Source organism: Homo sapiens, chromosome 2 (assembly GCF_000001405.40).
Source record: "Homo sapiens chromosome 2, GRCh38.p14 Primary Assembly".
NCBI lineage: Eukaryota > Metazoa > Chordata > Mammalia > Primates > Hominidae > Homo > Homo sapiens.
In genome coordinates, this window is record NC_000002.12 from 132,008,913 (window position 1) to 132,026,044 (window position 17,132).

General features: G+C 35.0%; 1 long non-coding RNA gene across 2 annotated transcripts in view, besides 2 other annotated features; it reads right to left on the minus strand.

The window, feature by feature from the left end:
- LINC01945 (long intergenic non-protein coding RNA 1945) overlaps window positions 1–17,132 on the minus strand; it is a 54,115-nt gene that overhangs the window by 25,127 nt on the left and 11,856 nt on the right. The gene's annotated exons all lie outside the window — the stretch shown is intronic.
- Window positions 5,342–5,843: an enhancer, noted in NCBI's record as "NANOG hESC enhancer chr2:132771827-132772328 (GRCh37/hg19 assembly coordinates)". NCBI's record gives its function as "activates a minimal SCP1, AML or CMV promoter by ChIP-STARR-seq in naive H9 embryonic stem cells {active_cell/tissue: H9 hESC(naive)}" and the evidence as "EXISTENCE:reporter gene assay evidence [ECO:0000049][PMID:30033119]".
- Window positions 6,773–7,329: an enhancer, noted in NCBI's record as "NANOG hESC enhancer chr2:132773258-132773814 (GRCh37/hg19 assembly coordinates)". NCBI's record gives its function as "activates a minimal SCP1, AML or CMV promoter by ChIP-STARR-seq in primed H9 embryonic stem cells {active_cell/tissue: H9 hESC(primed)}" and the evidence as "EXISTENCE:reporter gene assay evidence [ECO:0000049][PMID:30033119]".

Below are 17,132 nucleotides of genomic sequence, written 5' to 3' on the forward strand. Positions count from 1 at the left end.
TACTAATTAGGGTATGCAGCTAACAACAGAACCTCCAAATACATGAGGTAAAACAGGAAAGAAATCAAAGGTGAACTAGAAAAATCCAAAATTATATTTGCAGACTTCAACACTTTTGTCTTAGTAATGGACAGACTAGGCACAAACTCAGTAATCCTATGGAAGATAAGAACAACAATATCACCAACAAGACACGCAATCTTCAATGGCAGACACGCTTTCAAGTGAAAAAAAAAACAGTATGGCATATTTTCTAACAAACCCAGAATTTCTAATATTTGCGGTCTTCCTTCCATCTTCCTTTCTCTTCTCTTCTTCTTTTCCTTTCTTTTCCTTTTTTCTCCTTCCTTCCCCTTATTCTTCCTTCCCTCCTCCCTCCCTTTTTTTCCTTCTTTTCTTATTCTTTCTTTCCTTTTTTCCTCCCTTCCTCCCTCCTTTTCTTCCTCCCTCCCTTCCTTTTTCCTTCCTTCCTCCCTATTTTGTTTGCCTTCCTCCCTTTTACCATTCTCTCTTCCTTTCCTTCCTCCTTCCTTCCTCACTTTTTCTCTTTCTTTCTTGAGTTCTTGCTTTCTTTTTTCTCCCTTCCTCCCTCCCTTCTCTCATTTCCTCCTTTTCTTTCTTCTTTCTTTCCTTCTTTTTTCTTTCTCTTTACAACTCATATTATTTAAAAAAAATTAAGACAGGCAGAAAAATAAAGAACACTTTAATCTGCAGGTAAATAGATTATGTCTGCTGTAGACAAAATAATGGCCTCCCAAAAATGTTCATGTCCTAATTCCCGGAGTCTAACATACAAATATGTTATGTTGCATGGCAGTGGGAAATTAGATTTCAAGTGAAATTAAGGTTCCAAAGGCAGCGGGGGCAAAAAGCCTAGGCGGAGGGGGCAAAAAGCCGCGGCGGCGGGGGCAAAAAGGAGCGGGGGCAAAAACCCCACAAAAACCCGCGGCGACGGGGGGAAAAAACCGCGGCGGCAAAAAGCCTCAGCGGCAGGAGCAAAAAGCCGCCGCAGTGGGGATAAAAAGCTGCGGTGGAAAAAACCCGTGGCGGCAGGGGCAAAAAGCCGTGGCTTCGGGGGCAAAAAGCCACAGCAGCAAAAACCCTCAGCGGCGGGGGCAAAAAGCTGTAAAAAGCCGCGGCGGCGGGGGCAAAAAACCGCGGCGCCAAGGGCAAAAAGCCGCGGTGACGGGGCAAAATGCCGCGGTGGCGGGGGCAAAAAGCCGCGGCGGGAAAAAACCGCAGCGGCGGGGGCAAAAAGCTGCCGCAGCGGTGACGAAAAGCCACAGGGGCGGGGGCAAAAAGCCGCAAAAAGCCCCGACGGCGGGTCAAAGAGCCGCAAAAAGCCCCAGCGTCGGGGGCAAAAAGCCGCGGCTGCCGGGGCAAAAAGCAGCGGAGGCAAAAACCCGCGGCGGTGGCTGCAAAAAGCAGCGGCGGCAAAAAGCCGGGGCGGCGGGGGCAAAATAGTGGAAATGGGGTAGAAGGCCAGCACAGCTTGGCATTCCTGGACTGTGATGTGGAAGGAAAAGTGCAGCGCAAGACAAAGATGTAAGTAGGCTTGACTCAGTGCAGCTAAGAACTCAGATGTTATCTTGATGTTAACTATCAGCTGATTTTTTGTATTTTAGTAGAGAAGGGGTTTTACCACATTGGCCAGGATTGTCTGGATCTCCTGAGCTCATGATCCACACACCTCAGCCTCCCAAAGTGATGGGATTAGAGGCATGAGCCACAAAGTGCTCAAAAAATCTATTAATTAAAAAAGTGTATGTAGCCGTCTTCAATCTACCATGTCCATTAGCAGATAAATACTACAAGCAAAATAACAACAATGAAATAAACATAGACTTAGAGTAGATACTCTGATTTAATAAAAATTTGAAAGTAGACCAAATTACGATTAAAAAAACTCTGTTACTATTGAGGATGAGGGTTAGTGTTTGGAAAGGGGCAGGAGAAGTATCACTATTTTTAGTAATGTTCTATTTTCATACATGGCTATAAGCAAATATATGTGTTTCATTAATCAAGGTATCCATATTTAATCATTGTACTTTTCTGCATGTATGATATATGTCAATAAAATGTCTTAAATTATATACAGCAAAAATAGACAAAACCACAAGAAGACATACATGAATGTTAAACCTAGAGAGAAATTTGAATATAAGTAAGTCTCTGAATGACTGCTAGAACAAACCAAAAAATAATCAGGATGGAGAGGTTTGGAACAGCATGATTAGCAAAATTGACATATCTGTCTTTTAATATAGGCAGAAACATAGATTAAAAAAGGACTTGTCTCAGAGTATGATTTCTGAAAATAGTGGAATCAAGTTTGAATCTAGTAAGTACATATAAATAAATGTCTTAAAACTCTTATGTTAGCTAATTAAGAAATTATTGTAATAGATATTAGAAAATATTTTAATACATTGAGTGGATTTCACACGCTAAGGAAATGATCTTACTTGCATTTGATAGTTCAATTACATACATATATACCTATAGGTAGTTTAAAATATTTCTAATAACCTTATATACTTTTAAAAAGCATTGATATCTGTTTGCACTATCTGGTCTATAGAATACACATACCAAACATGATTATAGCTCTTCTGCTATAAACTTCAAATGTCTAATTAATACAAAAATCTAGAATGAGAAGAGTTCTTTGCAATTTTTTTTTTTTTTTTTTTTTTACCAAATAGAATATAGGAAGGATAGCTGCAAATATACCTGACACACTTATCTGTGAGTATGGTGGTAGCCTTTTTATTTTATTTTTGAGAGAGGGTCTCAATTTGTCACCCAAGATGGAGTGCAGTCATGTGATTAGAGCTCACTGAAGCCTTTACATACTGTGCTCAAGCGATTCTCCCACCTCAGCCTCCTGAGTAGCAGGGACTGCAGGTGCATGACACCATACTAGCTAATTTTTGTAAAGATGGGGTTTCACCATGTTGCCCTGGCTGATCTCCAACTCCTGGACTCAAGAGATCTGGCCACCTTGGCCTCCCAAAGTGCTGGGATTATAGTTTTGAGGCACCGCGATCAGCCCAGCCTTAAAAAAGGCTGACTAGAGATCTTTATCTATGTATATCTATATCTATCTATAAAATAAACGTGTTTATTATATAAAAATATATATTATTAATATTATATAAAAATTTTTTTTCAAGGTAGAAATATATAAAGAGGGTGCATGTAGAGCCTGGGTCATTGTGTAGTGAAGCTCAAGGCCTCTGAAGAAATGCCCCTTGCCTCTTTTGTCTGGGCTAGAATCCAAGAAGGGAAAGCAGCAGATGCACTGGTTCCCAGGTTCTTGGCATCCTACAGAGAGAAACATGTTTGAGCTAGGATAGCGTTAAACACCCTTCTTCTCACTCTCCTGTTTTATGTAGTGAGCAGAGACTAGCTTCATGAGAACAGACTGTGACAGTCAAGGCTGTCTGTTATTTTGTGCAGCATTAATTGAGAAATTCTAGCACCTGAAGACCTCTGGGCCATTTGAGGGTAGGTGCAGGGAAGGAAAGGGAAGTTTGCATCCCTCCTGCTGTGGAGAGAACCCGTGGGAAGCACAGACCTTGTCCTAACTAAAGGCAGACCCCCTTGCTAACCAGCTTCTCATCAGCCAACCCTGGGTGAGTTTCCATGTCTATTTACTAAATAATCCTTATTGCTTTTCTTCATAGGGGCAAAGTATGGTTTACAGGGAATATTGTTCCTTTGAACACCCATTGTGCAAACTCCTTCCTGTTGTGGGAAAACAGGCTTCCATATGTGTCTTTTTGGGAAACACATTGGCAATTTCTATGTTTTTACTGCATCTATTTCTTGGATATGGGAACTGAATAGTGCCCATCAAAGGCTCACCTGATGTTGGATATTGATCTGAGAGCACGGAAGGACAGAATTCTTTCTTTGTTCCTGGGCAGCCGTGGTTGAGGGATCATTTTGTGGCAGCTACAGTGGCAATGATGGAGGCAGAACGGAGGGCTCAGTACCAAGACAAGGAGAGACTTGGCCTCACAATGGCAGCATTGCAGGGGTGCGTTCTACAGAGCATTTGCTCACATGGTTTTGGGCATTGTCTCTAACTACATTGCTTCCCCAATAGGTTGACCCATTCTAAATAACTCCTTTTCTCTTTAAAACAGAAAACTTCATTTGTATGACTTGCAATTGTAAATGACACGAATTGGCCAGTTATCATTCAAATTCCCTGTTACTTAATCCTGCCTTTTTCTAACGTATGCAACTTTCCCCTAAAAAACTGGACACTTCGTTGCTTATTCATTGTCTTTACACATTTTAAAATGTTGCTTTATGCCCCCAATCCCTAACTACATTTTCGATGTTTTGCAAGTGGAGTCCATGTGTTCTTGATTTACATGAAGCTCAAAATAATGGTTATAGTAACTAGTACTTCATAATTAAGCAAAAAGCTCTTATTGAAAAATGACAGAACTATACATAGAGATGACAACATGGAGAGATATTTCCTGAGATCACAAAGTTATGGTATGGCAGAACTAGAAAGTTGAGTAGAGACTCTGTTCCCAATCATTATTTCTACCACCAGCTTTCTATTTTGATGTTAATAGTGTTCTTATGTGGGAAACCCTACATATTTGCCAGTGTTTAGTTCATTGACAAATATAAAGAACTTCAAGAACACTCTAATCTTTTAAAAATAAAATATCTATAATTGGCCATATGAAAAAAATTGGTACTTGACATATACTGAGATCGTTTTATTTTGTGCTAGACAAATGAAGTCATAGAACAGAATGTGCTTTAAATATTATGAATAGTGCTTGCGTGTGTGTGTGTGTGTGTGTGTGTGTGTGTGTTTATAGATGCATATTAGGCTGCTGAAAAGTTTGACTATTCTTTCCAGGAGAGAGACTGCCAACTTTTGAACCTAATTAGTACAAGTATATTGCTTCTTCATATTTTTATTAAGGCAAAGAGAGTCTAGTTAAAAATAATTCAACTTATTGTGGAAATGCTATAAATTGCTGTGAAGTGAGTTGCTGGCTATGGCTTGTCAGAGCGAATATATTGTACAAATCTTAGGGGAGAATTAGTGCTTATGCATTAAAATCAAATCATCTTGCAGCACACTGAGAAAAAGGTTAGATTTTTAAAATAATTTCAGAGTCATGAAAAGAGCAAATATGCTCAACAAAGAGCCTAGCAACCCTCAATGACCAATTCCCCTTTTATATAGTTTGGTATCTGAATTAGAATCCCAGAATCTACAAATTCCTCTGGGTGTGGGTGCTGCATTTTGAGGATTTTATAACACTGCCATCACCAAGCTCTCTTTTGATATTCAATTTAAGGAGATAATTTACGGGCAACCAGAGAGCATACACCAAAGTAGGTATCTATCTAGATAGACAGATACATCTCCATATCATTGACAGGATACTTTCTGGCCGAGCGTGAGTACAACCTATGGGTGTGGTTGGAGAGAACATGTGTTCCACCTGAATGGCAGATCAAGATTATTCCTTCTCATCTGCTGCAATGGCTCAATGTGTTAAGGAGAGGAGTGAGACAGCAAGAACTGCATTCATTCAGTCATACAGACCAAAAGGAGGAATGTCGCCCAGCCCTCTAAACTGACCCAGAACCCAGCTCATGTCTCAACTGCTACCTCTACTACTTAGAAAGAAGTAACTCCGCTAAAGCAGGGTTCTGGACAAATATATTTTTATTGATCATATACAAATAGATGAAGATGGACTTGGATGTTAAGAAAAATAATACTATACAAAATCAAGAGTAGACAGTCACCCCTAGACTTAAATTAAGAGTGTGTACATTAGATAATTTAATCCAATGTATCAGGTAAAAACTTGAACAAACGTTTTGGCCTCTTCCATAAAATTCAGGGAAGCATGTCCTCCACAAAACAGAATCAAAATATAAATGAAAGACTGGCTTAAGATGAAAGGAAACCTTATAAATGAAAAGAAGCCAGATGAGAGGCACTTAACTGAGAATGAAAAAAAACTGAGTGGACAAAATAATTATGAGAAGATGAATCTTCAAATCAGAAAGAGGGAAAAAAGCTCATTTGATACTATGGGAACTCAAAAGAGAGTGAACACAAATGTGAAAATTCCAAGAGTACAGAAAAGTAGCATAACTAAATTAAGAGCATGAGAAAATGTATACAATTCTGAGTAATAAGAACAGAAATCAAAAGTTAGTATTGTATGTTTTAGTAGAGCAACACTGAAGACGAATGAAAACAAGAAATAATATTAAATATGAACATATGGAGAACAGAACAATATTTTTAAAATTTTTAGTTTCTAAGTTTACCTGAAATTTTAATTTTGGTTTCTTATGTAATACCAGAGTTATTAGGAAGATATTAGCTAATAACACTATTTTCAGTGGTATTTTAAGTATTTGTCCTAGAAAAATTTCTATTTTTTAAAAATGTATATTTAAAAATACATTAAATGTGTATATACATCAATCATATGTATCGATTTCTGTTTTTTTTGAATTGCAAATGAAATTTGTATTTTTGTGTTCCTGGAATAAAATAAACTTGAATGGATTGTGATATATTATTCATGCTGTAATTCAATGTATTTGAATTCTTTAAGAATGTTACATTTATAGTTAACAGATATTGACCTATAAATTTTCTTTCATATAATAATGCTGTGAGACAATATAAGAAGAATTAAAATTTAAATTCATGTATTCCTACTTTTTCCTCTGTTCTCTAACTGTAATATATTTTAATTACAGATGGAGGAACAGATAGATGTTAGATAAATAGGTATATAATAGATCATCCAAAATTCTTATTGTTTTATGTAGTCAGTATTTACCTCTGTTTTTCTACATGTTTATCCTTCCAATTTAGTTCATTACTTTCTGCACCTTTGATGTCATATACATAAACAGGAAATAACACATGGTGGCCGGGATGTAGAGAGAGCCACAGGACTTGTGAATACAATCCACAGGCAAGGATGTGGCGATTCCTTTTGCAGTATTGGAGGGAATGCCAAACGCTATGTTTGCTGTGGAAAAGAGTATGGTAGTTCCTCAAAACATCAAAATGGTATTGCCATATGATTCAGCAGCGCCACATCTCAGGATAGCAAAAGAATTGAAAGCAGAGTCTTGAAAAAATATTTGCACATCCATGCTTGCAGCAGCGTTATTGGCAATAGCTAAAACGTAGAAGAAATTGAAGTGTCCAACAACAGATGAATGGATAAGCACAATATGATATATACACACAATGGAATATTATTCAGCCTTAAACATGAGGGAAATATTCTGACATATGTTGCAACTTGGATGAAACTTGAGGATATTATGCCAAGTGAAATAAGTTAGTCAGTGAAGGACAAATACAGTATAATTCCATTTGTATTAAAGTGGACAGAATCATAGAGATAGTACAATGATGGTTGCCAGAAGCTGTGGGGAGGAAGAAATGGGGAAGTATTGTTTAATGGGTATAGAGTTTCAGTTCTACAAGATGAAATGAGTTATGGAGATGGATGGTAGGGATGGCTGCACAATGTTATGACTATATTTAGTACCACTGAACTGTACACTTAAAATCGTTAACAGAGTACATTTTATTTTATGTGTATTTTACCACAATAAAAAAATAAAATACCTTAGGAACATTTTCCTGAAAGAGTCCACATAAAATTCATTTTAATGCATGTGTTTATGCATAGCTTTCTATTTTTCTCTTTTCTATTTATATTCCAAATTAGAATATAATGCTAATCAAGCATAGTGGCTGTGTTTCTTGCTTCGTCTAGTCTGCAGGTAGCATACAAATGTAATAAACTACTTATTCATGTCACATCTATTTATTTTCTGCCTTATACCAAGCTTGTGGGATTCTCTTAAATACAACATTTTTATACTTACACCTAGGCAATACCCATTAGCATCGCCTTCCTAAATCAGGGGAAATTGAGCCTCTGTAAGGTGGAGTAACTTACTAAGATACAAAACTCAGCATTAAAGTCTGTATACTTCAATATCCTGCCCTCTTCTCATTTGTCTTTACTGCCTTTTATGTATGTGTTAGATGTTCAATAAATTCTCTTTTTTAAACTGAATTTAAGCCGTGGAGCAGTGTTTTGTTGAACAATAAATATGATATAGGACACTCTTCCTCCCTTTCATTTATGATCCAGTTCATGAAAAAGAGAAATTCTTTCATTGTGCTAGAAGCTTAAAATAATGAAAATGCCACTTTCTACATTAAACAGAAACTGAAGGGAATCAAGGTGAATTGCACGAGACATAGAAAACAAGTGGGAAAGAAATCTAGTATAATTTGCCCTTTTTGTACCTTTATTATTTGGCGTTTGAGTAAATGTTTCCCCCAAATATCTTCCCATCTTAATTCATGTCTATGAAGTAGACATTTATGTCTCACCTTGTCAAGAAGGGCAAACTCTAACATAAACATTTCCCAAAAATGCTTTCTGCTAAAACGTAAGCTCAGTCTGGCTAGAAATGAAGCTCACTTCATAAAGATTAATTGGTAGCTAATCTTTGCATGCTGTTCTCTGAACCTGAGTGAAAGCTGTCCATCAGGCATACAGGGAATGACGGAAAAGGTGACAACAGAAGATGAATGCTATGTCACTAACCTTCAAAGATGACCTGCCTTTTCTTTCAAATTCTTGATATCTTAAGACTTCATTATTTCATCTCTCTTTGCCCTTGGTTCAACATTGTGCTATACCAAAACTCATGTAAAACAATGATCTAATGTAATAAAAATGGCATTTTTCTTTCATGTAGATGCAAGCTAACTGGCATTTTTACAATCAACGTATTTCCTTTGTCAATTTTTCATTCTGTATTGGAAGTAATTGATAGGTATTTCTGAAGGGATGAAGGTGTTTCTGTGTTCATTGTGATCCAAACTATTTTTAGACCTAGGGGCATTTGTAAAACAATTTGTGCCAGCTGACCAAGGACCACTGTGGCAGAAAGCAGCAAACTTGCATAAGATGTCACTGCCTCATAAGTTGGCTTTGAAAACTAGGGGCTTACTCTATAGTCTTATGAATCAAAGACATTGATAGATGTAGTATAAGATTACAATCATATTTTCCTTTTGACAGTCACATTATAAAGCATGATGTATTGCAATTAATCTCAATTAGCTGATCACAATTAAAATTAATGTTTATTATTGCTGATAAACAATCATGAATCTCCTGTTCTCAAATGTGCAAGTAATTCTTGTAATTTTAATACAAATTTGCATATTATTACTAATTGATTTAATCTCATTGGATTTGGTTCATGGATCCAATTTATTAAAATATTGGTAATGGGATAATGATTTGTCTCTCCATTTCATGTACGCTAAAAGCCACAATTCTTACAATGGTCTGCAAGCCCATCATGATCCGCTGCAGGTTAACCACGAAAATTCTTTTATTTCTTCACCCTTGATCTTACCAGTGGTCCTGGCCACCTCACTGTCCTCTGGACATGCATGTTTGCTGCTGTCTTATGACCAAGACTCTAGTTAATTTCTTGGCTTGGAAAGATAGCCCTCCATATATCCATTGATCAGCTCACTCAACTTCCTCAAGTCTTTACTGAAACCTCACATTCTCGATGAGACCTATTCGGTATTTCAAACTGCCTCCCAGCTGCAACATTCCCAAACCCCGTACTCTTCTGTGTATTTTTGAAAGGATTTATTGAGATATAATTTACATAGTGTAGAGTGCACACATTAATGTCTACAAGTCAGTGGCTTTTAGTATATGCACAGGTAAGTGGAGCCATCATCACAATGAATTTTAGAGCATTTTCTTCACTTCAAAAAGAAACCCCACCTTCTCTAGCTGTTAACCTCCTATGCACCCATCCCCTACTCAATCCTAAGCAACCACAAATCTGTTTTGTCTCTATAGATTTTCCTATTCTATTTTCATCTAAATAGAATCATACAATAGGTGGCCTTTTGTGCCTGGCTTCTTTCAGTTGGCATAATGCTATCAAGGTTCATATATGTATTGGTACTTTATTTCTTTTTATAACTGTAGAACATTCAATTTCATGGATATAAAATTTTGTTTATCCAATAATATTTTTATTGACATTTGAGTTGTGTTCAGCCTTTGGCTATTTTAAATACTGCTGCTAAAAATACTTGTGTACAATTTGTGTTTGAACACCTCTTTCCAATAATCTGGGTGTATACCTAGGAATACATTTCTGGGTCATATGACAATTCTATGTTTAATATATTTAGAAGCCATCAAACTGTTTTCCAAAGTGGCCAGTTCTAGCCATAGAGTATCTAACTGTGGTTTTGATTTGTAGTTGCCTGATGAGTGATGCTATTGAGTATATTTTTATGGGATTATTGGCCGTTCGTGTAACTTCTTGGGAAACACATCTATTCCTATCATTTATCAGTTTTGAGTTGGGATATTTGTTACTGAGTTAAAACAATTTTTCTATATTCAAGATACATATATATATATACAGACATATAGACACGTGTTTTTCAAATATCTTCTCACAATTTTTGAGCTGCCTTTTGACTTGCTTGGTTGTCCTTTGAAACACCAATGTCTTTAATTTTTAAGAAATTTTAAATATCTAATTTTTATTTTGTTGCTCATGTTTTTGGTGTTACAGCTATTTCTTTGCTAGATCCAAAATCCTGAAGATTTTCCCATATGCTTTATTCTAGCTCTTGCATGTATGTCTTTAATTCATTTGAGTTAATATTTTTGTATGCTTTGGGGTAAGGGTTCGAATTTATTATTTTGCAAGTGGTGATCCATGTGTACGTTGTTGACCCAGCTTGTTCAAGACTGTCTCTTCCTCATTGAATTGCACATGGCACCACTGTAAGAATCCATTGACTATAGATACATAGTTTTATATATGGACTCTCCATTCTCTTCCATCAATCTATTTTTCCTTCATCAGTATTGTGTTGTCTTGATTACTGATGCTTTGCAGTAAGGTGTGCAGCACGGGGGTGTGAATTATCCTATTATGTTTTCTTTTTTCAAGGTTATTTTGGCTATTTTGAGTCCCTTGCGATTCCATGTGTATTTTAGAATCAGCTTGTCAGTTTCTAGACAGAAGTCTGTTGGGATACTTTTAGGGATTTCATCAAATCTGTAGTTCAAATTGTAAAGTACTACAATATTAAATCTTCCAATTCATGGCTATAAGACATTTGCTAATTATTTAGATCTTCTTTAAACAATAATTTTTAATTTTCAGAGTAAAATATTGTATCACATTTTCCAAATTAATTATTATTTCTTTTTTGACGCTATTGTAAATTGAAATGTTTTCTTAGTTTCATTTTGGGGTTTTCATTGTAGATGTGTGCAATTGATTTTTCTATATTTATCTTGTATGCTGTAATATTGCTGAAATAATTTACTAGTTCTGTCGTTCAGTGGATTCCTTAAAATTTTCTATATACAAGAATGTTATTTGCAAATAAAGTTTTATTTCTTTCTATTCAATATGGGTGACTCATTTCTTTAGTTGCCGATTTGCCATGCATAAAATCTTTAGTATAATGTTGACTAGAAGAGGTCAAAGTATATATCCTATTCTTATCTCTGACCATAGCGGGAAAGTATCCTTTCTTTTACCATTAAGTTGCATGTTTGCTGTTGGCTTTTCACAGGTGCCATGTATCTGGCGTAGAAAGTTCTCTATTCCTGGTTCATTGAGTTTTTATTTTTATTTTTAATCATTAAAGAATTTGGATTTTGTTAAATGTCTTTTCTGAATCTATCGAGATGATCATGCAATTCTCGTTTCTTATTCTATGGATAAGATATATTACCTTAATGGATTTTGGGCTGTTTAACCAACCTGGGATTACTTGTATAAATTTCACTTTGTCATAGTTTATAATTCTTTTATATGTTGCTAGATATGATTTGTTAGTATTTTTTAAGGAATTTTGCATTTATACTTATAGTAGTTTTATTTTTCTATGCTATTTGGACTAATTTTTGTATCAAGGTAACACTGGCCCCACAGAATAAATTGGGAAGTGAATATTTCTCTTTTTTAAAAAAGCTAGTCAAGAATTAATATCAATTATTCAATACTAACAAATATTGTTATAAATTATTAATTTCTCTAATTTTTATTTTCTTCCTTCTGCTTGCTTTAGTTTTGCTATTTTTTCCAGTGCCTTAATGTGGAAGGTCATCTTATCTCATCCTTTCATTTGTCTTTTCATTTTCTAAATAGTGTCTTTTTAGCATCAGGTGAGCTCCCCAGGTTGGTAGTACTCCATGTTTATTGCTGTACAACAATGACAGGTAATATGTCCTGAAGACAATGGAAACTTAACATTCAAAATCCTCCTAGATTCCACCTTATATGATATGTCTCTTCCTTTAATTGGTCCTAATTTCTACCCTTTCTCTATTATAAACCATGAGTACAATGGCATTCAATGAGTTCTGTGAGTCTTTCTAGTAAATTCTTGAATCTGAGGGTGTTCAGGGGAAACCCCTGAAATGGCAGTTGGTGTCAGAAGTGAGAATCGTCTTATATGGCCTCTTCCTTTGAACTTTGCAGCTGGACCCAAACTCTGCATAATTTGGGCCAGAAGTCTCGTGTTGACTTTGCAGCCTAAAGTACCTTGTAGTTTGTCTAACCCTCAATAAATTTGCTTTCATCAAATATTGTATTTGTTACCGCAAAATTACCATCATGTTTTTTTTCTCCAAATAACTAACATTGGGAGAAATAGCCAGCTGAATCTGTAACTCAACAGAAACAAGTGATCCATATACCATATACCATGTAAGTGGCCATTTTGCCTCCTTCCACCACATCTTAGCAACCTCAACCATTGCCATGAGCCACTGTAGGCCTACCGGCTACAAACAAACAAGTATCTTTTAAAAACACTTCATACTCCCATTTGATAAATTTCCCAGCAAAGAGATGTCTACTTTAACTCTATGCAAGTGGCTCATATTCACGAAGTCTGGAGATATTATTCATGTAGTGTGAGAAAATCATCCCAGCGATGCCAGCACATTCTCCTTCCCATAATCTGCTTAGTTTGCAAACATATTCAGGCCATAGGTGAGAGATTTGTATTTCACAGTACAACAATTTTATGGAGGGCATTGAAACTTAGATTGAGCATTTTAGTACAGTCACACATCACTGAATGATAGGGATACGTTCTAACAGATGCATCCATAGGCAATTTCATCATTTTGCAAACGTCAGAGAGAATATTACAAACACCTAGATTGTACAGCCTACCACGTCTGGGTTATACGGTATAGCCTCTCTCTCCTAGGCTACAAACCTGTGTACTACATTACTGTACTGAATACTGCAGGCAATAAGAACACAGCGGTAAGAGTTTATGTATCTAAACATACTTAAAACATAGAAAAGCATGTAAAAATATGTATTATAATCTCATAGGCCCACTTTTGTATATGTAATCCATCTTTGACTGAAATGTTATTATGCATGACATGACTCTATGACAAAAATAAAATAACACACTGTAAAAAATTACATATGTATCAAACATATTAATATAAAAATAAAAATATTCAGTGTAAGAATTTGTAATGATCACAAAATGTTCACAGCTTATATTTTAGTACAGTTTCAAATGCCTAGTGCAATTACTATTTATTTGTGTATTTTAAACATGTATATAATAAATATTTTTCAGGTTCAACAATGTATATCAATCCAACTGGCTTTTATAAATATTAGTTAAAATCAATTAGTAAATTCATATATATATACACACACGTGTATCAGTGTGTGTGCATGTATGTGTGTGTAAATGTAATTGTATGTGTGTGTAAATGTAACTGGATGCATCCTAATATTTAGCCTTACCTACAAGATTTCCAAGATTCATTTATTATCTTTAGATGATGTGCACTTAAAGATTTGCCAAATAAAACTGTAACCGTGGAAAATATCAAGATGTTATTAAATTCATCTTGTGCACGTAATTGTTTCTCTACATTTATGTTTCTTGCACAACTTGCAGTAATGCTCATGCACAAAATAATTTTCTAAATAAAAAATAAAAACATTTTCTCAGTCATTAATTCTTAATAATTATTTCTCTCTGATAATTATTGTGAATTAATTCTTAATTCTTAATTATAGAATAATGTTGCCTTTCAGAGTTCTGAATCTTTTGCATGTTGTATACATTTCACTAACTAGAACAACTTCTGGAATATTGGCATTAATTAATGTCACTCAGCAATTATTGATTTCAAAGAAATTAAATACCATTCATATTCTGAATCACAAGGGTGCTTTGGCATCTAATTTAATCAAGCTCTTTGTATCATCATCTACACTTTAATTACTTAACAAACATTTCTCTGTGTGAGAAAGATTGAGCAGGTTATTGTGCTTTGTTAAGATGCAACTTTTGCTTAATCTAGAGATAGGCAATGCTCTCTATAAGGGACAAAGAGAAAAATGAAAGAGCAATAGAGACGTGACAGGCATGGAAAAAGACAATACATTTATAAAACAAATAGGACCACAGATGACAATAATGGGGATCAAATCTTGAGATACTGACTCAGTTTATAACCGCACTGTATAATAGAGCAAATCACTTGTTAATTTTTTTAAAAATGGAATTTAATTTAAGATGAATACAGTGTTTTAAACAAGACAGGTCATCTTAAAATAAAATAGTGGAATAAAGTGATAAAACCAATGTAAAAATCATAAACAATTTATAAAGAATTTTTGTCATGTAATTTAATATTTTTATTTAAAAATCACCAAAATCAGAATAATTTTATCTTAATTAACATAATCATCAGAAGTTAACTAATTTTTACTTTATAATACTACGTTTAAAAATCTTTATATTTTTAATCATATATGCTTATATATAAAATAGACATAGGATATATATTTAATGTTCCCAATATTATATTGCAATTGTTCCTATGGATGTGGTTTTTCAATAGAATTAAGTACTTTTAAAAAGTTTCAATCTCAATGATATATATGTTTGATTTTTCTTTGACAAAGCATACATATATTGATAGGTAATAATATGAAAATCTTCTAAAGACATTACAGGAACATGAAAATGTAATTAAATACTCACTAATTTGTAATGTTTTATGTAAGCGGAACACATTTAACTGAAAATTGCTTTTATATAATAAACGAGACTAGAAACATTTTAACTAACGGAGTAAGTCTTCAAATTGATAATCTGAACTATACAAGAGGAGAAACTTCAGGCACTCAAATATTTGAAATGATACAAAATATTTATATAAACTATTATTTAACAATTTCTGTTTGTAGAGTGCTATAATCAATATAAATGACATCTCAAGTCTTTCTATCGCTTTGACCACATTTACCTCCTAATTTTAATTACTAATATGTTGGAGCAATGCATACAACTAGATTCTGATCTTCCTTTTTAATGAGTAAAAAATATGTCCTTTGAGACAGCATTAAAGAAAGAGCACCTTGTATAAATTCAATGCCAAGAGACAAGATATTCTTGATTCTGAAGTCTTGTTCTTTTATACAACAATGTAATTAATAATAAGAAGAAAAGCAGGACATAGATGTGGAGTCTATTTTAATCAAAAATTGTCTATAGATTTTGATGATAAAATTTAAAAATCTACTATATTTAGTCAGTTACAAAAAACTAGGTTGTGGGAACATATTTGGTCAATAAAACACCCCTACCAAATGCTAACAAGAAAAAGTTATGTACCACCTTTCTTCTCTGCAGATGGCCTGAGATGGGTTAATTTGAAAGAATGTTTCCAAACCTGAGGTGACCCCTGAGAACAGCATAATCCACTGCTGTCTCCCACATTCAGTTTCTCAGTTTGTGCTCTTTTAATCTTGGGGGGAGGGAAGCCAGTCCTTTAAAGCAATCTTCAGCATGATGGCAGAGCCAAGGAGTGTGGACAGGTGGCACGGTGTCTGACTTAGTTCCAGCAGCCACTTGGGTTTCTCTGGGTTTTCTCTGCCCTAGGGATAGCACCACTATTGAAAACATGTCTTTGTGACATTCTCTATGCCAGGAACTCCCAACACATTTTCCTTGAAACTGATGAAATGAATAAAAATAAACCAAGAGGTGTGCTGTTTGTTTCTGCTTCCTCCTTTCTGCAGCCCTTCTTGATCATCTAATATTTTTAAATACATTGTCGATCACCAAAAGGAGCATAAGGGGTATATTGATTTGTAGCTGATGTATTAATAGCCGAGCCCCTATTCCTTACCTGTAGCTGCTGGGAAGAAAACCATTCTTAACACTCTACAAGGTCTCATCTCCAGAATTTGCACCTGTTTCTAGCTGAGGACTTTCTCTAGCAGCACGGGAGCTTGATACTGGGCATGAAGTGGGAAGAAAAGGTGAGGGTTACTAAGAAGAATCTCCCTGGATTCAGTGATGTAATTCTGAGGCATGTTCCACATAGCTTCCCATAGAATTAAGCCCAGATATCTAACACAGGAACTTGCCTGTTAACACGTGTGGTACTGGCTTTTCTATCTTTCCTGTTTTATTTTATTCTCTCTTCCTTGTCTCACTTTCGCTGTGTCCTCACTCCTGCTTTAAGAATACCCAAACAAATACATTCATTTATTTTTTTAGACTCTCAGAACACAGTTGATAGTTGAACTTGTAACCTATGATAATCAGCTTGGATGCTATACTGAAAGGAAGATGGTGAACTCACCATGTCTAATTAAGATAAAATTTAAAAAATATATTGATTCATGTCCAAAGATTTAAAAAACCTAAGCGGCAGTGTCACAATTTCTTCTTTTTAGTTTACATGGTTTCTTAAATGCCTACAATTATTTTAAAGGAAGCCTTGGGTTTAGAGAAAATTGAGACATACGGAATAAATTACTAACCCATTTCTCCTTGAAATCCATTAGATGCTGATGATTTTTCACATATACTTCTGAATTGAAAAGCTAGTTGCGAATTATTTTTATAAGCATATCCTTATGTAATATTTTGTTTTTAACAGTAAGTTGAAGATTTAAAGATTAAATTATTCTATCCAGAGAATAATTTAATCTTT